The following is a 19882-nucleotide window of genomic DNA, read 5'->3' on the forward strand; positions in this document are numbered from 1 at the left end:
TATTTTTGTTGTTGTTGTAGAGATGGGGTCTCATTATGTTGTCCAGGCTAGTCTCAAACTCCTGGCCTCAGCAATCCTCCCACCTCAGCCTCCCAATGTGCTGGGATTGAGCCACCATGCCCAGCACCAAACATTAAAAAACTGTCACCATATTCATATAGAATTCTCTATCAGCAGGTTATAATATGAACACAGAGAAATGACCCTGTGCTTGTGCCATAAATAAATTACATAGACTTTTTGACAGGGAACTCCTTGATGTTGAAACTTTTTGACATTGGTACTTATCTACAATCACAGCTGCATTCTGAATACTTAATGATTTTTAGGGTCTGATTACAGGGTAGATAGGATATTATTGGTATTTGCAATTTTTGTTGTCCTTGTTTTCTAAGATGATGTCACCCAGCAGTCTTTTTCTTTTTTTTTTTTTTTTTTTTTTTGAGACGGAGTCTCGCTCTGTCACCCAGGCTGGAGTGCAGTGGTGCGATCTCGGCTCACTGCAAGTTCCCGCCTCCCAGGTTCTGGCCATTCTCCTGCCTCAGCCTCCCGAGTAGCTGGGACTACAGGCGCCCACCACCATGCCTGGCTAATTTTTTGTACTTTTAGTCGAGACGGGGTTTCACCGTGTTAGCCAGGATGGTCTCAATCTCCTGACCTTGTGATGTGCCGCCTCGGCCTCCCAAAGTGTTGGGATTACAGGCGTGAGCCACCACGCCCGGCCACCCAGCACTCTTGTCTCATATCATTACTTCAGAAGTGTGTCCAGAGAATAGGCACCAGAGAAAGAAATCTCATTGTATCACATCTTTTGTTGTGTAACAAACTACCCTAAAAGGTAGTGGCTTATGATAACAAACATTTATTGTTTGTTTCTCACCATTCTGTGGCTCGCTGGACAATTTTCCTAATCTGAGTAGGTTCAACTAGGGCTCAACTCACTCACATGTCTGGGGTCTTAGCTGGAAGAGCTGAGCCTTCTTCCCATGCTCCCCAGGCCATCTCTCTGTAGCAGACAAGCCTAAATTTGTTCACAAAGTGGACAAGAGAAGGTGAACACCATTATGCAAGCACTTTTTAAGCCTCTACTACGTCACGTTTGTTAATGTCCCAGCAGCCAAAGCAAAGTCATGTGACCAAATCTAAGTTCAAGGGAGAAATAGACTCCATATCTTGATGGGAGGGGCTACAAAGTCACAGTGCAAAGGAACATAAACACACGGAAGGATTTTGCACTCATTTTGCAATCTACCACATTCATATTCATAGTACTTATGTCATGGCTCAGCAAGGGCCCCACATGGGAACTCCTGGCTCCACCACTCATTTGAGACGCTGAACTAATGCTCTTTTTCCTACCACCATCAGAACTCTTGAAAGAGTTGTTTTTCTCATCCCCTCCACTTCCTTGCCCTAGATTCATTTCTTAATTCTTGCAAGCTGGTTTCGGCAGCAACTATTCTAGTAACTAGGTTAACTAGCAACTTCCCAATCATCGATTACATTTTCTCAGTCTTTATCTACCTTGAATGTTTTGTAGTTGTTAACACAACCTTTATGGAAATTCACTTCTTACAGTTTCTATTATAAGTAAATAAGAAAATACAAGTAATTTTATTCCAGTTCATTGACTGATTTTCTATTTTCTTTTCAGGGCTCTCTTCTTCCTTCCACGATTAAGTGTAGGGCTCTGTCCTCACCCTTTTCTTTCTTACGTGATCTCCATAAACTCATTCACTTTTACAGCTTCATTACAAACTTCGAGGTAAATGATCTCACAATCTGTATCCTCAGTTCCTAAATTTCTTCTCAAATTTTGGCTTCATTTTTGAAATGGCCCACTAACTGTTTCCACCCAAATGTTTTATGTATAGTTCCTCTGAAATCTATTTTGGCTGGAAACAAAGATAGTGCTGGTCACTGTATAATGCTCTTTCAGCCTGGTCATTTGATTCTACATTTTCCTACAGCTAAAAGAGGCTGGGGGTGGTGAAGGGAGGTAGTGACGGGTTAATTAACATTTGCTGAATGCCTACTGTGTGCAAGTCACTGTGGTCTCTCTTAGCTGACAGAGGACACCTTCTATATTACTTTGAAATAGTACATAAAAGGGCCAATCAGATGCTGATATGCAATCTACAAGGATAGCATTGCAGACAGCCACTGATATCCCAGTGACAATTGCAATAACACCAAAGGAAATGCGGCTGTAGACATCTCTGTTTGTTGTAATAAATAAGAGGTATCTGACAGCCTCAAATGACTTTCAAAGAGTTTCTGCTAAAGGTATCTTAGGGTTTGCAAAAAAGAAACATTCTTCCCTTAAGAAGAGTCTGGTTTCTGGGGAGAATAGATCACAAAATAAAATTGCAGTTCTCCTTTTCTCTCCCCGGTAAAAGAGCTTAGAGACTTCTAGGATCCAAACTAGGCTACTGATAACATTCTGTCTGTTCTATGAGTAGATTCTCTCAATGAAAGTCAAATTTCTGTTGATCATAAGATGGACATCCTTACATTTATTGCCTGTGCCAAATTCCTTGATTGAACTATACTGATAGACTATAGTGATTATAGTGATTATACTGACAGTAGCAGAGCTGTATATATTTGTAGCGGTACCTCCCACCATGGTGCCACTCTTCTGAGGGAACTCTGATAAGCATTATTAATCAAGTCATTAACCTTGATGTGGATCAGATTCTGAAGTTAATAAGAAAGAACACTGATGACCTGAGAATATGTTCTAAAACTATGATTTCCAGGATAATTTATTAAAGTGTAGCTGTGTCTTTCTTTAAAAATATAAAAGTGACCAGGTGCAGTGGCTCAAGCCTGTAATCCCAGCACTTTGGGAGGCCAAGGTGGGCAGATCACACGGTCAGGAGTTGGAGACCAGCCTGACTAACATGGTGAAACCCCATCTCTACTAAAAATACAAAAATTAGTCAGGTGTGGTGGTGCGCACCTATAACACTGAGAGGTGACAGCATGCTGGCAGCCCTCGCAGCCCTCACTCACTCTCCGCGCCTCCTCTGCCTGGGCTCCCACTTTGGCGGCACTTGAGGAGCCCTTCAGCCCACGGCTGCACTGTGGGAGCCCCTTTCTGGGCTGGCCGAGGCCGGAGCCGGCTCCCTCAGCTTGCAGGGAGGTGTGGAGGGAGAGGCGCAGGCGGGAACTGGGGCTGCGCGCAGTGCTTGTGGGCCAGCGTGAGTTCCGGGTGGGCATGGGCTTGGCGGGCCCCACATTCAGAGCTGCCAGCCCGCCCCGCTGCCCCCGGGCAGTGAGGGGCTTAGCACCTGGGCCAGCAGCTGCTGTGCTCAACCTCTTGCCAGGCCTTAGCTGCCTTCCCGCGGGGCAGGGCTCGGGACCTGCAGCCTGCCATGCCTGAGCCTCCCCCGCCACAGTGGGCTCCTGTGCAGCCCCAGCCTCGCTGACGAGCGCTGCCCCCTGCTCCATGGCGCCCAGTCCCATCAACCACCCGAGGGCTGAGGAGTGCCGGCGCATGGCGCGGGACTGGCAGGCAGCTCCACTTCTGGCCTCTGTGCGGGATCCACTGGGTGAAGCCAGCTGGACTCCTGAGTTTGGTGGGGACTTGGAGAACCTTTATGTCTAGCTAAGGTATTGTAAATACACCAATCGGCACTCTGTATCTAGCTCAACGTTTGTAAACACACCAATCAGCACCCTGTGTCTAGCTCAGGGTTTGTGAATGTACCAATCGACAGTCTGTATCTAGCTAATTTAGTGGGGACCTGGAGAACTTTTGTGTCTAGCTCAGGGATTATAAACACATCAATCAGCACCCTGTCAAAATGGACCAATCAGCTCTCTGTAAAACAGACCAATCGGCTCTCTGTAAAATGGACCAATCAGCAGAATGTGGGTGGGGCCAGATAAGAGAATAAAAGCAGGCTGCGTGAGCCAGCAGTGGCAACCAGCTCGGGTTCCCTCCCACAGTGTGGAAGCTTTGTTCTTTCGCCCTTTATAACAAATTTTGTTGCTGCTCACTGTTTGGGTCCACACTGCCTTTATGAGCTGTAACACTCACTGCGAAGGTCTGCAGCTTCACTCCTGAAGCCATCTAGACCACGAACCCACCAAGAGGAACGAGCAACTCTAGACGCGCTCCCTTAAGAGCTGTAACGCTCACTGCGAAGGTCTGCAGCTTCAGTCTTGAAGCTAGCGAGACCACAAACCCACCAGGAGGAAGAAACTCCGAACACATCCGAACATCAGAAGGAACAAACGCCGGACACGCGGCCTTTAAGAACTGTTAACACTCACCGTGAGGGTCCGCGGCTTCATTCGTGAAGTCAGTGAGACCTAAAACCCACCAATTCCGGACACAATACCAGCTACTCAGGAGGCTGAGGCAGGATTATTGCTTGCACCGGGGAGGCAGAGGTTGCAGTGAGCCAAGATCGTGTGGTTGCACTCCAGACTGAGTGACAGAGCGAGACTCCGTCTCAAAAAAAAAAAAAAAAAATATATATATATATATATATATGTGTAGTATGTATATATATATAAAATAAAACTATTCCTTTTTTCTGTTTTCTTTTTTTTTTCGAGACAGAGTCTCGCTCTGTCACCCAGGCTGGAGTGCAGTGGCGCGATCTTGTCTCACTGCAACCTCCGCCTCCTGGGTTCATGCCAGTCTCCTGCCTCAGCCTCCCGAGTAGCTGGGACTACAGGTGCCCGCTATCGTGCCCAGCTAATTTTTTGTTTATTTTTAGTAGAGACGGGGTTTCACCATGTTAGCCAGGATGGTCTCGATCTCCTGACCTTGTGATATGCCTGCCTGGGCCTCCCAAAGTGCTGGGGTTACAGGCGTGAGCCACCGCGCCTGGCCTATCTCTGTTTTATTTTCATATCAATAATGGACATAGAAGTTTCCCAATCCCAAAATGGAACATGGTGTGATAGAATGCAGGCTAGTAAGAATGAATGAAACACCACTCTAAGAAGAAGCAACCTACTACTAGGTTTCCATATGGCTTAAATTATATTAGTTAAACTCTTTTTGTCTTAAATGGGTTGGATAAGAATTTGTGAATGCTCCTGATTCTTTTTTTTTTCCTCCTTTTTGGTTTGTTTGTATTACTATAAATATTTCTTTTCTTTTCTTTTCTTTTTTTTTGAGACGGAGTTTTGCTCTTGTTGCCCACGCTGGAGTGCAGTAGCGCAATCTCGGCTCACTGCAAGCTCCGCCTCCTAGGTTCAAGTGATTCTCCAGCCTCAGCCTCCCGAGTAGCTGGGATTACAGGTGTCTGTCACCACGCCTGGCTAATTTTTTGTATTTTTAGTAGAGACCGGGTTTCACCATGTTGGCGAGGCTGGTCACCAACTCCTGACCTCAGGTGATCCACCCGCCTCAGCCTCCCAAAGTGCTGGGATTACAAGCGTGAGCCACCGTGCCCGGCCACCATAAATATTCTTGTAAAGCAATTGTGACTTTTCTCATTGACCATGTTGTCTGGGGATTCATTCTAGAAAACTGCTGTTTAAATATTGTGTATTGGGTATGAATTATCCTGTATTGTTCATGACTCTGACTACATTGTCTTTCTTATTGGCAATGACTGTAAGCACCATTGTTAGTGAATTTGGCTAACAGCATTTGAAGCAGATGAGATTTTAGCTCACGCCTTGATAGCTGCATTGGCTCAGTCTAAGCTAAAGCCTTATTTTCATTAAAGGGAGCAGACATGCTGAGGAAGAAGGTGCTATTTTTACATAGGGACTTTTTCTACTGAAACCACATGAGAACACTATGCTGTTAAAATGATCTCAAGCATGCTGAGTTAGCTGAAGAAACAATATGCATGTTGCCAAAATCAAAGCAGTACTATTCTGAGCCTCCTCTCTAAGGTCCTCTAGCTCTCCTTGGTGGTCATGATGAAGGGAGTAGGAGAGGAGCTGGTGAGAATGTGTAAATTACAGGTAAGTGAAGGTCACTTCCAGTTACCTAGAAGAGATTATTCAAATTCTTGGTTATTTGGTTATTGACATCAACCACTGAGATATAAGAAGTTTTATTAATTATATATTTGCATGTCACTGACATTTGTTAAGTAATTGCTTTTATTCTATATATATATATTTAAAGTAAAACCAGCATAAAACAGTATTAAGACTAACTTTAAAAATGTCAGAAACAGGCCACGTGCAGTTGCTCACACCTGTAATCCCAGTACTCTGGGAGGCCAAGTTAGGGGGATCACGCCCACCCAGGAATTTCAAGCCAGCATGGGCAACAGAACAAGACTTTGTCTATTTTAAAAATAAAATATATTTTATAAAAACAAACAAAAAACCAAAAAAAGTTAGAAACAGAAAATTTTGGCAGAAGCCCTCCAACTCCAGTTAAAACAAACAAACAAACAAACAAACAAAAACTATTAGTCTTTCTCTTTTTCTTTCTCTTTTAGAGACAGAGTCTCACTCTGTCACCCAGGCTGGAGTACAGTGGTGTGATCGTAGCTCACTGCAGCCTCGAACTCCTGGACTCAAATGATCCTCCTGCCTCAGCCTAGGACTACAGGCACACGCCAGCACATCCGGCTACGTTTTTTGATTATTCGTTTGTTTGTTTGTTTGTAGGAACAGGGCCCTGCTATGTTGCCCAGGCTGGTCTTGAACTCCTAGCCTCAAGCAGTCCTCCCTCCTTGGCCTCCCAAGGTGTTGGGATTACAGGCATAAACCACCATGCCCATCCTAAATGCTATTATTATCAGAATTTGTCATGATTGCAGACTGCCATGATTAAATATTATTATTATTTAATAATAAATTTAATATAATAAATAAATATTAAATATATGACAGGTACTATCTTAAGCATTTTACAAAATTATTTCATTAGTTCTCACAATAATATTGCAAAACAGTTCTTATCTTCATTTACAGAAAACAGTGCTTCCTTTGTGCTCCTGATAATAACTGTCATGCTATAAATTATACTCAGGTAGAAAGTAACCGAGATGGGATTCAAGCATAAGTACAAATATATGAGTATCTATCTCCAAAGCCCGTGTTCTTTCACCAGGTCATGCAGCATCTCTGAGGATGACACATACAGTTAATAAGGAAACTGCACATATAGATTCCTCTAACATAGAGCTTTTCATTCTTCACTCTCCTCCTCCCAATCCATCTTCAAAACAGTATAAATGAAAACAAGTTAAAACACACCAAAAACAGAAAAATAAAAGTCTTCTCTCTTGGTGATCTTCAATTGCTACGGGTAAATCACCATAAAATTTAGTTTCTCTTGTCCTCAAAAACTGGAAGATTCTCTCCTCACACAGCAGAATTTGAATCAACTCCTTGTTTATTTTACTCACAGACAGGTTTACTTAACAGAAAAAAGTAGTTGGAGAAGCTCTTGAACAGATAGAGATGTTAATATATAGGAGCTCACATCACCTCTCCTCTTCTATCTATAAGATGGAATTCCTTTTGTGGCCAAAGTTACTTCCCAGACTTGAGTGCAGATTCATGGATTTGGGCAAGGAGAGCACCATAGCTGCTTGATTGGGAAAGCCAGAGGTTACAGCCACACAGAAGTGAATGGCTCTGGAATATGACAAAAGACAGGAGGATGTTACCAAAGTTAGTATGCCCTGGATTTGAGGAAAAATTGGGGGAGTTTGGAGAAAGAGGAAATGAAAGATTTAGGGAGCAGCTGGAACATATATAGGAAATGGAGAGTTATGGAAAGAAAATTTTAAAACATTTACTGAGTGTTATTAATATTACCCCAACTCCTGAGTCATTTTCCTTAAAAATCTACAAAAAGGGTCAGGTGCTGTGGCTCACACCTGTAATCCCAACACTTTGGAAGGCTGAGGCAGGCGGATCACCTGAGGTCGGGAGTTCGAGACCAGCCTGACCAACATGGAGAAACCCCATCTCTACTAAAAATACAAAATTAGCTGCCCATGGTGACACATGCCTGTAATCCCAGCTACTCTGGAGGCTGAGGCAGGAGAATCACTTGAACCCGGGAGGTGGAGGTTGTGGTGAGCTAAGATCATGCCATTGCACTCCAGCCTGGGCAACAAGAGCAAAACTCCGTCTCAAAAAAAAAAAAAAAAAATTCTACAGAAAGGTGTTAACTAATGTTCAGCAACTTTTGGAGACTGGACTAGTGTTTTTTTGCTAAGATGGAGCCACAAGGTGGATGGACTTTACATGGGTTGTACTCTCAAGAATGATAGATTTTGAAAATGTTTGCAAAGACATCAGTGTTGGGGCTCAGAAAATGATACCCCAAAGTATGGTGCTTTGATATGCTGAGTACTTTGAACCAAAGAATCAGCTTCACGCCAGGCGCGGTGGCTCACGCCTGTAATCCCAGCACTTTGGGAGGCCCAGGCGGGCGGATCACAAGGTCAGGAGATCAAGACCATCCTGGCTAACATGGTGAAACCCCGTCTCTACTAAAAATACAAAAAAAAATTAGCCAGGCGTGGTGGCAGGTGCCTGTAGTTCAGCTACTCAGGAGGCTGAGGCAGGAGAATGGCGTGAACCCAGGAGGTGGAGGTTTCAGTGAGCCGAGACCGCACTACTGCACTCCAGCCTGGGCGACAGAGCAAGACTCCGTCTCAAAAAAAAAAAAAGAAAAAATCAGCTTCAGAACCAAGGTCTCTTTGATCTTCCCTCATCTCCCTGTCTCTCCATCTCTGTATCTCCTGAAATGCAGGGAGGGAAGTTCTTCCAGAAGGAACATAATTGTGTGGATCCCTCTCCCTGAAATCCACATTAACCAGAGATTAACCAGCAGGAAAAGAAACTAAAAGTCTCCAAACCGAGATGGACTTTTTACCTATTCTTCTGAAGGTTGCTATCCTAGAGACTTTATCTGCATCACAAAACAACCGTTTTTCACAGTGTGGTTCTTCCCCTTACCCTTCCATTGCTTGAGTCACCCCTTACCCTTCCATTGCTTGAGTCACCACCTCCCTTCCAAAAGCCCCAGCCCCTATTTCTTTCTGTAGTTCAAATGCAGATTTAAGTTTCAACCAGGCTGGGTGCAGTGGCTCACGTCTGTAATTCCAGCACTTTGGGAGGCCGAGGAGGGTGGATCGCCTGAGGTCAGGTGTTCAAGACCAGCCTGGCCAACATAGTGAAACCCCATCTCTACTAAAAATACAAAAATTAGCTGTGTGTGGTAGCCTGCACCTGTAATCCCAGCTACTCAGGAGGCTGAGGCAGGAGTATTGCTTGAACCTGGGAGATGAAGGTTGCAGTGAGCTGAGATCATGCCACTGCACCCCAGCCTGGGTGACAGAGCAAGACTCCATCTCAAGAAGAAAAAAAGTTTCAACCATCTGGCCCTTCTTTGAGTGTTTTACTCTGTGGGACCCCCTTGTATATGCATGTATTAATTTGTATGCCTTTTTTCCTGTTAATCTGTCTACTGTCAAATTTATTGCATAGACTCAAATTATCAAATGTCAGAGGGTGAAAGGAAAGGTCCCTTTTCCCCTATATTGGAAAAAAAAAAAAAGAAAAGTGATAGATATAATGTTGGAGCCTGGAGTGAGATTTAGGGAATTCTGGCCTTTTAGCAAAGAGGGAAGCCCCGCGGCATTTGGCAAGCTCTGCACCTGTGCAGAAAGGAGTGGATTCCCCTACCAGATGAGTAAACACTTGCCCCAGCAAATCCTCGTGACAGTGGGCATGGTGGAAGGTGGGGGAAAGCCTTCTGCTTTCTAGGAGGACCTTCTCTCTGGGCCTTCCTTTGTGGCAAGAGAAAGAAAATAACTGTTATCAACATTTCTCTAGGACATACCAATCTGTGATAAAAATAAAGTCATGATAACATTGACAAAACAATATTTCACTGGCCCATTCTTCACCACTGTGCAGAAAACCCACCCCCTCTCAAATTCTCATTTGGTTTAGCTAGATGTCTTTATTTATTTAATTTCTTTTATTTATTTTTTTTGAGACGGAGTATCGCTGTGTCTCTCAGGCTGGAGTGTAGTGGTGTCATCTCGGCTCACTGCAACCTCTGCCTCCCGGATTCAAGTGATTCTTCTGCCTCAGACTCCCAAGTAGCTGGGACTACAGGCACTTTCCACTATGCCCAGCTAATTTTTGTATTTTTAGTAGAGACGAGGTTTCACCATGTTGGTCAAGCTGGTCTTGAATTCCTGACCTTGTGATCCACCCGCCTCAGCCTCCCAAAGTGCTGGGATTACAGGGGTGAGCCACCATACCAGGCCTAGATGTCTTTAAAGTGTTGTTTTCTCAGGCTGGGTGTGGTGGCTCACGCCTGTAATCCCAGCACTTTGGGAAGCCGAGGCGTGTGGATCACTTGAGGTCAGGAGTTCGAGACCAGCCTACCCAACATGGTGAAACCCTGTCTCTACTAAAAATACAAAAATTAGCTGGGTGTGGTGCTGGGTGACTGTAATCCCAGCTACTTGGGAGGCTGAGGTAGGAGAATTGCTTGAACCTGGGAGGTGAAGGCTGCAGTGAGCCGAGATTGCACCTTTGCACTCCAGCCTGGAGCGAAACTCTGTCTCGAAAAGATAAAATAAATAAATAAATGAATAAATAAAGTATTGTTTTCTCTAAGGTCTTGTAGAATCCCTTTTAGCCTCCACTGCCACCACCATTCTACTACTGTCCAACTCTGGGTCCCTGTGGTGGGGTTTATTGCTAAAGTCATCTAATGTGTAAATGGTTTTATGAAAACTGATCTTCTTTACACACTCATGCTTAACAGGTATTTAAAACAGATTTCTAAATCTATCTTCATTCATAGTTAATCAAAGAACATTTTTGATTGATTTTAATTTCATATGAAGTAACAGATATAGTTAGGGAAAGTCTTAAAAATAAGGATGAGTTTAGCAGAGATTTATAAAAAAATGTCATTTCACAGTAAATGCCAGAAATTGCAATAAATTCTATGTCTTAGTTTCTCTGGGATTGATTCTAATGGCTTTCAAGCATCTCCACAGTCACATATTTCCCACTAAAAGATCTCCAGAAAATTTGGCCAGGCACGGTGGCTAATGCCTATAATCCCAGCACTCTGGGAGGCAAAGGTGGGCAGATCATGAGGTCAAAAGATCAAGACCATCCTGGCTAACATGGTGAAACCCCATCTCTACTAAAAATACAAAAATTAGCTGGGCATGGTGGCACATGCCTGTAGTCCCAGCTACTTGGGAGGCTGAGGTAGGAGAATTGCTTGAACCTGGGAGGCGGAGGTTGCAGTGAGCCGAGATCGTGCCATTGCACTCCACCCTGGGCAACAGAGCGAGACTTTGTCTCAAAATAAAACAAAACAAAACAGAAAATTCATCATAGATTTATTTCATATTTGGTGAAAAAAAATTTTTTTTTTTTGAGACAGGGTCTTGCTCCATCTCCCAGGCTAACGTGCAGTGGCGTGATCTCAGCTCACTGCAACCACTACAACCTCCCCTTGGCTCAAGCAATCCTCTTGCCTCAACCTCCTAAGTAGCTGGGACTACATGCGAACACCACCATGCCTGCTTAATTTTTGTATTTTTTTGTAGATACGACGTTTCACAATGTTGTCCAGGCTGGTCTTGAACTCCTGGGCTCAAGTGATCCACCCGCCTCAGCCTCCCAAAGTGCTAGGATTACAGGCATGAGCCACCATGCCTGGCGTGAAAAATTTTAAAGTTTTTCTTCTTGGCAAATATTCAAGAAAATGGCTGAATTATCACAAATATTGGCATCCTCTGATCCACTGCTTAGAGTGAGCATCCAGATCTTGGTGAAAATGACGGGGCTTCCAGCATTCCCCTTTTCATTTCTCTGGCAACAGAAAAACAACATTTTTGGTCATTTTGAAAGTTTATATCTACCTAATAGTTTGAACTTTCATCTGTTGGTTATAGTCTAATAATATGTAAAAATTTTCTAGTAACTAATGAGTAAATTTTAATAAAACCACAATTTCAGTAAAAGGTATTTAGCTAACTGCTAAATTGTGTCACTGACATCATATTTTATTTTCTCGATTTATTTTTTATTTTTTTTTAATTAATTAATTTTTTTTTTGAGATAGAGTTTTGCTCTTGTTGCCCAGGCTGGAGTGCAATGTCACGATCTTGGCTCACTGCAGCCTCTACCACTGGGTTCAAGTGATTCTCCTGCCTCAGCCTCCTGAGTAGCTGAGATTACAAACATGTGGCAACACGCCCGGCTAATTTTGTATTTTTTTTTTTTTTAGTAGAGTCGGGGTTTCTCCATGTTGGTCAGGCTGGTCTCGAACTCCGGACCTCAGGTGATCCGCCTGCCTTGGCCTCTCAGAGTGCTGGGATTATAGGTGTATAATAGTTTTAAAACTAAAAAACTATTTTTAGTTTTAAAGCAATGAACAATTGAAAAAGAATAAATTTTTAAAGTATTCAAATTCAGTAAAATATTTCACATATAAACCAAAATTTGCAGTTAACAAAAATACTGCACAAATAAAAACAAAGTGGTTGCATCAAATGGCAGAATTGAAGTAACTTAAGTCCTATTTCTTTATCTTTAAAATTGCTGTGCTATCATTATTTATTACTCATCACAATTTTAAATGCAGAAATATGAAGGACCACAGGCATCAGAGGTCTTACTATTAAAACAGACTTGTGACACTGAGCCCATGTGTGTTGAAGGCTAACTGGATAAATGGGAGTTCTTCAAATTCATTTCTAGTAGAATACAACGTTTATGAAAGGAAATGTAATAAAAATGTGCTAATTTGAAGCTTATTTATATATTAAAACTCAACAGAAACTGCAGCAATTGTTTAGATTTTAGACCAACAAAAGATTTTTTTCAGGGAGGACACTTTTATCAGTGACACTGTTTAGAATTGCAGAGAATGGTGATAATGAAAAGCAGACCAACTCTTCGTTGGCGTTATTATAGTTTTTAATTTCTCTTGACAAGGTTCCCCCTTATTGCCCATGCTGGGGGGTGGACTGCTCCCTGGTTGGCCCTTGATAAGCCACTGGTAAGCTGCATCCTTCAGCGTGTTTGCCTGAAGGATTTCTGCAACAAGGAAATGGGAGATAATTTTGAAATTAAAAGTTATAATAAATATTTAAGTGTATGTAAAATCATTTTTTTAAAGGTGGAGGCTAAGAGAGTAATTTAGTGATAAAAAATCAAAAGAGAATATTATTTTCTCCATTTTTAACATTTTAATTATGAGCCAAATTTTTGTGAAGTCTTTAAATATGTATTATAAGCACCCTGTGGAAGACAAATGCTCCCTTTGAGTGTCTAAGCAGCATTCTCCAGTGTAAAATTGAATGGGTTGGTGTAGAATTATCTTTAAGGCCCTTTCAGATCTAACAATCTGTGATATCTATTATGTTTCTTGTGAATGAAAGAACAAACTGTCTCCCCGCCCTTGCACCCCACAGTTTTCCTCTCTTTCCCGACCTCAGGGGTTTGCCTGGAGAGGAGATTAAACCCTCACATCTTTCTGTATCCCTGTAATCTCTGCAATGGAAAGATGCAGGGGCCTGGACAAAGTAGCAAAGGAAACAGAAAACAAACTTTAAATACTAATGTATTTTCCGGGTCTTTGTGAGCCTAAGGGAGTCCATGGAGAGGAGGATGGCTCTGGAATGGACCCCATTTCTTATGCAGTGGAAGATCTCAGGGACGGTCTGAGGACAAAGGGAACTGACATCGTTCTGCATAAAAATGACAATTGAGAGCTATCTCCTTTGTGAGAAGAAGCAGCTCTGAAACGATTTTGCACATGGAAAAACAAATTTTGACTCTACTATTTCTGAAAATTAGTTTTTGTCCTTGGAAAATGTGTGTGTGTATGTGTGTGTGCGTGCATCTGTTATTGTGCTATGCGAAAGACACACACTGGAGGATACCCTGAAGGGATGTGAAAGTGTGTCTTCACCTCACACTGGCAAGGAAAACTTGAGGTGGTTCAAACTCAGGGTGGCAAAGCCTACCTGCAGCTCTCCGACTGCAGGTGTCATGATGCTGCTCTTGACATAGTAACTTACACTTTAGAAAATGTCCTGCGGGAGATTGCTGGGTCCTACTGATTGTGCGGATGCCAGGAAGACAGAGGTGACTCCCAGGTTAAGATGAGAACCTAGTGTAGTTTTCTTTTCTTTCTCTTCCTCTTTTTTAATCTTCCTTCTCCTAATTTTAAAAAATTATGACATACACAAAACAAAACAGAATAGATCAATGAACCTCTGAGTTCTCATCACCACTTCACAAACTTTGGACAAACTTACATCCCCCCACCAACCCATCCCCTGCCCCCACATAATTTTAAGGAAAATTCTAGGCATCATATGATTTCATTTTTGACTAAAAAATGACTTTTACATGACCACAACATTCTTACCTCACCTAAAAAAAATTAATAGTAATTCCTCAACACCATTGTAGGAGACAAGATATGCCACTCCAAAATATGTCTTTTTGTCATAAGGATTATTTTGAGAAATAGCAGGCACAAGTGAAACTCTAAAAAGAAAGTAGAAATTACCATTTTCTTAGGAAAAATTTACATTTATAAAGCAAATCTCCATTTGTAAGGGTGTCTCCTCGGTATCAGGAAGAGGAGGATGACAAAATTACAGAAAAACTCTTGTCAATGGGAAAGTCACTGACTTAAATCTTCGTAATAAACCTTACCCTTGTTTTTCATGCTTTTCTCAGTTACCTCCCCATAACTGGTCCCAAGAGACTTCTTTCTTTGTTCAGCAGAGGATAATAGCTAAGTCTGAATTCAGAGACACTTAAATTTTTTTTGGAGAGACAGGAAGGTATACATATTGCTAAACTGATGTTTGTTTTTCCTTTGTTAATCTCTTTTGTTACAGGGGTGCATTCCAATTAAGAACTCAGAAGGGTAGAAAGTTACTTTTCCTCCTCTACATCATCAAGTATCTTGTCAATGATTGCATTTTCAATTAGCTTATAACTGTCTTTTTTTCTTAGACAGGATCTCACTCTGTTGCCAGATTGGGGTGCATTTGCGCCATCTCAGCTCCCTCCAGCCTCAAACTCATGGGCTTAAATGATCCTCCTGCCTCAGCCTCCCAGCAGTTGGGACTACAGGCATGCACCACCATGCCCGGCTAATTTTTAAATTTTTATTTTGTAGAGACAGGGGTCTTCCTACTTTGATGAGGCTAGTTTTGAACTCCTAGCCTCGAACTATCCTTCTGCCTTGGCCTCCCAAAATGCTGGGATTACAGAGAGGGGGCTACTGTGCCTGGCCTCTTTTTTTTTTTTTTTTTTTTTTTTTTTAACACATTTTGTTGTTGTTTGAATCAGGATCCAAATAAGGGTCGTACAATGTGAGTGACTGATCTTTCTTATGTCTCTTTTAATTTATAGGTTCCCTTTCCGTCTCTTCTCCCCCATTGTGGTGAGTTTTCTTAAAGGAGGCTTGCACTGAGGAAGTATACATAAAAACAGCACTATCTAATAATTATAAATGTAGTAATAACTACTTGATACAACATAAACTTTTTAATCAGCGCTAATATGAAGTAATTTACACATGTTAACTCTTTCATCCTCACAACAACTCTGTGAGTTAGATTCTATTGTTTCCCAATTTTGAAGTTGAGGAACTGGGGATGTTACTGATGGCAAATCCTTATGGGTCTACAGCAACCTCAGTTCTTGCCTCCTCTGAAGAAAGAATTCAACTGAGGGGCATAGGCCAGAAGAAGAGACCAAGGCAAGTTTTAGAGTGGGAGTGCAAGTTCATTAAAAAGCTTTAGGCTGGGCACGGTGGTTCACCTGTAATCCCAGCACTTTGAGAGGCCAAGGTGGGTGGATCACCTGAGGTCGGGAGTTTGAGACCAGCCTGACCAACATGGAGAAACCTCGTCTCTACTAAAAATACAAAAATTAGCTGGGCGTGTTGGCTTGAACCCGGGAGGCAGAGGTTGCAGTGAGCTGAGATCATGCCATCGCACTCCAGCCTGGGCAACAAGAGCAAAACTTCGTCTAAGAGAAAAAAAAAAGCTTTAGAGCAGGAGTGGAAAGAAAGGAAAGTACCCTTGGAAGAGGGTCAAACAGGCGACCTGAGAAATCAAGTTCATGGTTTGACCTTTTGACTTGGGGTTTTATACGTTGGCATACTTCGAGATCTTGTGTTTCTCTCCCCTGATTCTTCCCTTGGGGTGGGCTGTCCGCATGTGCAGTGGCTTGCTAGTACTTAGGAGGGGAGCATGCACAGTGTGTTTACTGGAGTTGTATGCATGCTCACCTGAGGCTTTCTTCCCTTACCAGCCAAATGTCCCTAGGAGGTCATATACCAGTTAAACTCTACCATTTTGCCTCTTAGTGTACATAGGTGAGCCCACTCACCCAATTCCTGAGATCTTATTGTCACAGTCTTGTTGTTCAAGGTATCCCCGAAGTTCTTTGTCCCACAACCAAGAAAGTTAAGGAGTGTGGACACGAAGGGTGAGGTTAGAGCGAGAGTTTAATGAGTGAAAGAAGAAAACTCTACCACGGAGAGGGAGCCCAAAAGAGGAATTCCATTTCACAGCTGAACACAAAGTCTTTTATAAGAAACCAAAGAGGGCTGGGCATCTCATTTGCATAAGACATGAATTTCTGGTAGCTCCACCCCATCCTCCTAGTGGGCATGTGGGCCCTTAACTTGAGTTACTCCATATTGCTTTGTTCCCCTTACTGTGCATGTGTCAGGGGATGGAATTTTCCATTGAAAGCATGTCTGGGCAAGTCTCCTGTGTAGCCTTTCTTATCTACGTGGCTGTGGACATGTCTTAGGCAAGCTCCCCTGTGCAAGTTCCCTTATCTGTGCCCACAGCTTGATTTTTCATGCTGTTCTTTTGTTTGAAAGAATTTTGCTGAGGACTCACCCTAACTGCCTGCCTGACCAGTTTCTTCCTTCCTCCTCTCTCATTATCGGGAAGCTATTGATCACCAGTTTCAGGTTTTTCCTAACTATTGGGAGACTGCCTTTCCCTGGCACCGGCTGTGACCAATTACTCACTGCAAGCTCCATCTCCTGGGTTCCAGCAATTCTGCCTCAGCCTCCCGAGTAGCTGGGATTACAGGTGCCCACCACCACACCTGGCTGATTTTTGTATTTTTAGTAGAGATGAGGTTTCACCATATTGGCCTGGCTGGTCTTGAACTCCTGACCTCAAAGAGTTACACATATTAACTCTTTCATCCTCACAACAGATCTGTGAGTTAGATTCTACTGTTTCCCAATTTTGAAGTTGAGGAACTGGGGTTGTTACTGACCTCAAGTGATCCATCCACCTTGGCCTCCCAAAGTGCAGGGATTACAGGCCACCGTGCCCAGCCACAATTATTATTTTAGAGAGACAGTTAACAACTGCCTGGCCATCACCTGATGGTTGCCTGACATTCCTGGTTGGGGGTTGTGGGGCCCTCTCATACCCTGTTCATGCCTGCCTAGCTACCTACTGTAACAGGTGCACAGAGAAGTTCAGTAACTTGCCATATGACACATAGTTTCTAAGTGGTGTGTCATGATTTGAATCCAGCTCTTAGTCACACACTGCTTCTTAACAGCTAATGTTTATCTAGCACTTACTAGTGCCAGGCACTATTCTGTGTTTTATTTGAGTTAACTCACTTAAACTTCACGACATTCCTGTGAAGTCAATAGGATCATGGTCCCCATTTTGTAGATGGAAGAGTCAATACACAGAATTGAAGCCTCCTCTCTACCCCCTGAGATTACAGTACAACTAACAAATAGTGGAGCCGAGATTTAAAATCCACATGGTTTCCTGCCACAACCTGGGCTCTTAACGTACTTTGCTTTCTTTGAGAGTAGCACATTCTCAAAGAGCTGGAAAACTAGGTTAGGATCTGGAGAATGTCTGAAGAGACTCAATATGAAGTTTAATTTTGGAGCTTTTCCTAGGATTATGGGGACAGTCATCTTTAGCAAACAGCTTACAAACTTTCCCTCCTACATTGCAGTTTTTTTCAGTTGAGTCTGACCAACATGGTCTGGAGCCTGGACTCCTTAGTGAGTCCCCACTGAGACTGAAGAGAAGTTAGTAACACCATGTGGACAGAACTATATAGATTTTGGGTCAGTTAGGATGTACTGGACAGGTGTGGTGGCTCATGCCTGAAATCCCAGCACTTTAGGAGGCCAAGGCAGGAGGATCCCTTGAGCCTAAGAGTTGGAGACCAGCCTGTGCAACACAGGGAAACACCGTCTCTTTAAAAATAAAATAAAATAAAATAAAAATGCCGGGCGCAGTGGCTCACGCCTGTAATTGCAGCACTTTGGGAGGCTGAGGTGGGTGGATCACCTGAGGTTGGGAGTTTGAGACCAGCCTGACCAACATGGAGAAACCCCATTTCTACTAAAAATACCAAAAATTAGCCAGGCGTGGTGGCGCATGCCTATAATCCCAGCTACTAGGGAAGGCTGAGGCAGGAGAATCGCTCAAACCTGGGAGGCAGAGGTTGCGGTGAGCTGAAATCGCACCATTGCGCTCCAGCCTGGGCAACAAGAGTGAAACTCCGTCTCAAAAAAAAAAGAAAAGGAAAAAAAGAAAAAAAAGAATGTAATAAGAAGGGTCTGTGGAAACACAGCTCCAAGACTCGGGAGACTCATCTTTGTCCCAAAACTACAGAAGGAGGCCCTTACAGGGAAATGGCAGAGGCTGACATTTATATTACACTTTTTGTGCCCTCTTAGTTCACCTTTGGACCTCATTTCTTGCTTCTGCAGTGTACAAGAGGAAAAATAATTTTTTCACTACCCTCTAAGGTTATTAACTAGGACTCCCTGTAACAAAAGACAGATTAACAAAAGAAAAACAAACAAAGTTTAATAACATGTATGCCTCCTATATATATGGGAGATACTGAGGGAACTCTCAAAGATCAAATCTCCAAGAATAAATCTCTAGAGTAGATCTCAAAGGAGCAGTTGAAACTTTAGGCTTAAATATTAACATTTATTGAAACAAAGAAAGGATGTAGGGAAAAGGCCGGTTATGGTTAGGGTGAGATGGTCAGGAAAAGTATGATAAACAAGGGTAAGGTATGTTAAGCAGATTTAAGTCAGTGCCTTCTCCATCTAGGAGAGCCTCTAATGATTTAGTCATCCTTCTCCTCCTGATATAGATTGGGAGACACCCTTATGAATGGAGATTTCCTTTGTAAATATAAATTTGTCTTACAAAAGGGTAACTTCTACTCTTGTTTTGAGAGCTTCTCCTATGTCTGTGGTTTCTCAAAATAACCAGCTGAAAATAATCCTTGTGCCAAAAAGGCATATTTAGGGGTGGCATATTCTGGTCTCCTACAGTTATATATTGAATTGGCATGCTCTGAACCCCTTCAGCAGACATTTCACCATTCAGAGCCAAACTTTGGAAACCATGCTGTCATTCTGAACCTTATTCTCTTCTTAAGTCCGTACTAAACATGAGTTCAAGACATTTAGAAATGACTTAACTCTCTTCAGCCCTGGAAAACCAGTTAGTGCTCAGCTGCAAGGCTGTCTACGAGAGATAACACTGCTTCAAACAAGACCAACTCAAAACATCTCTTTTTCTTGGTGTGAAAGGGAGGAACTGTCAAGTCTATAATTTTATTGCTATCCCATCATTGCATTTTACATTCTTTCATTGTTTTTCTTCATTTGTCTCTTGCAGTTTGAGTACTTGTAAGGATTTTTATGGGCAAGCAATGGCTAGACTCATGTCCTTAGAAACTCTGCATAGTCAGCCGTAGTCTAGGCAAACCTCAGTCATGGTTTTACATTACAGCAGATTAGCTGAGAGGGAGATCTGCCTACTTTGGAGGCTTGTTTGAGTCCTGGAACTTGGTCTCCTTTTACAGATGTTAGAAAAGT

General features: G+C 42.7%; 9 annotated features.

Annotated features, from left to right (window-relative positions):
- Nucleotides 5536-5795: an enhancer, noted in NCBI's record as "active region_21892". NCBI's record gives its function as "activates an Ori minimal core promoter by ATAC-STARR-seq in GM12878 lymphoblastoid cells {active_cell/tissue: GM12878}" and the evidence as "EXISTENCE:reporter gene assay evidence [ECO:0000049][PMID:35858748]".
- Nucleotides 5886-5975: an enhancer, noted in NCBI's record as "active region_21893". NCBI's record gives its function as "activates an Ori minimal core promoter by ATAC-STARR-seq in GM12878 lymphoblastoid cells {active_cell/tissue: GM12878}" and the evidence as "EXISTENCE:reporter gene assay evidence [ECO:0000049][PMID:35858748]".
- Nucleotides 13215-13739: an enhancer, noted in NCBI's record as "OCT4-NANOG-H3K27ac hESC enhancer chr4:129603876-129604400 (GRCh37/hg19 assembly coordinates)". NCBI's record gives its function as "activates a minimal SCP1, AML or CMV promoter by ChIP-STARR-seq in primed H9 embryonic stem cells {active_cell/tissue: H9 hESC(primed)}" and the evidence as "EXISTENCE:reporter gene assay evidence [ECO:0000049][PMID:30033119]".
- Nucleotides 13808-14102: a silencer, noted in NCBI's record as "tiled region #780; HepG2 Repressive non-DNase unmatched - State 24:Quies". NCBI's record gives its function as "represses a minimal TATA promoter and a strong SV40 promoter by Sharpr-MPRA in HepG2 cells {active_cell/tissue: HepG2}" and the evidence as "EXISTENCE:reporter gene assay evidence [ECO:0000049][PMID:27701403]".
- Nucleotides 14625-15364: an enhancer, noted in NCBI's record as "H3K27ac hESC enhancer chr4:129605286-129606025 (GRCh37/hg19 assembly coordinates)". NCBI's record gives its function as "activates a minimal SCP1, AML or CMV promoter by ChIP-STARR-seq in primed H9 embryonic stem cells {active_cell/tissue: H9 hESC(primed)}" and the evidence as "EXISTENCE:reporter gene assay evidence [ECO:0000049][PMID:30033119]".
- Nucleotides 16104-16842: an enhancer, noted in NCBI's record as "NANOG-H3K27ac hESC enhancer chr4:129606765-129607503 (GRCh37/hg19 assembly coordinates)". NCBI's record gives its function as "activates a minimal SCP1, AML or CMV promoter by ChIP-STARR-seq in primed H9 embryonic stem cells {active_cell/tissue: H9 hESC(primed)}" and the evidence as "EXISTENCE:reporter gene assay evidence [ECO:0000049][PMID:30033119]".
- Nucleotides 16104-17580: a biological region, named in NCBI's record as "MED14-independent group 3 enhancer GRCh37_chr4:129606954-129608153".
- Nucleotides 16293-17492: an enhancer, noted in NCBI's record as "MED14-independent group 3 enhancer chr4:129606954-129608153 (GRCh37/hg19 assembly coordinates)". NCBI's record gives its function as "activates an origin of replication core promoter dependent on BRD2, BRD4, P300/CBP and CDK7 cofactors, and independent of MED14, by STARR-seq in HCT116 cells {active_cell/tissue: HCT116}" and the evidence as "EXISTENCE:reporter gene assay evidence [ECO:0000049][PMID:35650434]".
- Nucleotides 16843-17580: an enhancer, noted in NCBI's record as "NANOG-H3K27ac hESC enhancer chr4:129607504-129608241 (GRCh37/hg19 assembly coordinates)". NCBI's record gives its function as "activates a minimal SCP1, AML or CMV promoter by ChIP-STARR-seq in primed H9 embryonic stem cells {active_cell/tissue: H9 hESC(primed)}" and the evidence as "EXISTENCE:reporter gene assay evidence [ECO:0000049][PMID:30033119]".

The sequence above is a fragment of the Homo sapiens genome, chromosome 4 (assembly GCF_000001405.40).
Source record: "Homo sapiens chromosome 4, GRCh38.p14 Primary Assembly".
Classification (NCBI taxonomy): domain Eukaryota; kingdom Metazoa; phylum Chordata; class Mammalia; order Primates; family Hominidae; genus Homo; species Homo sapiens.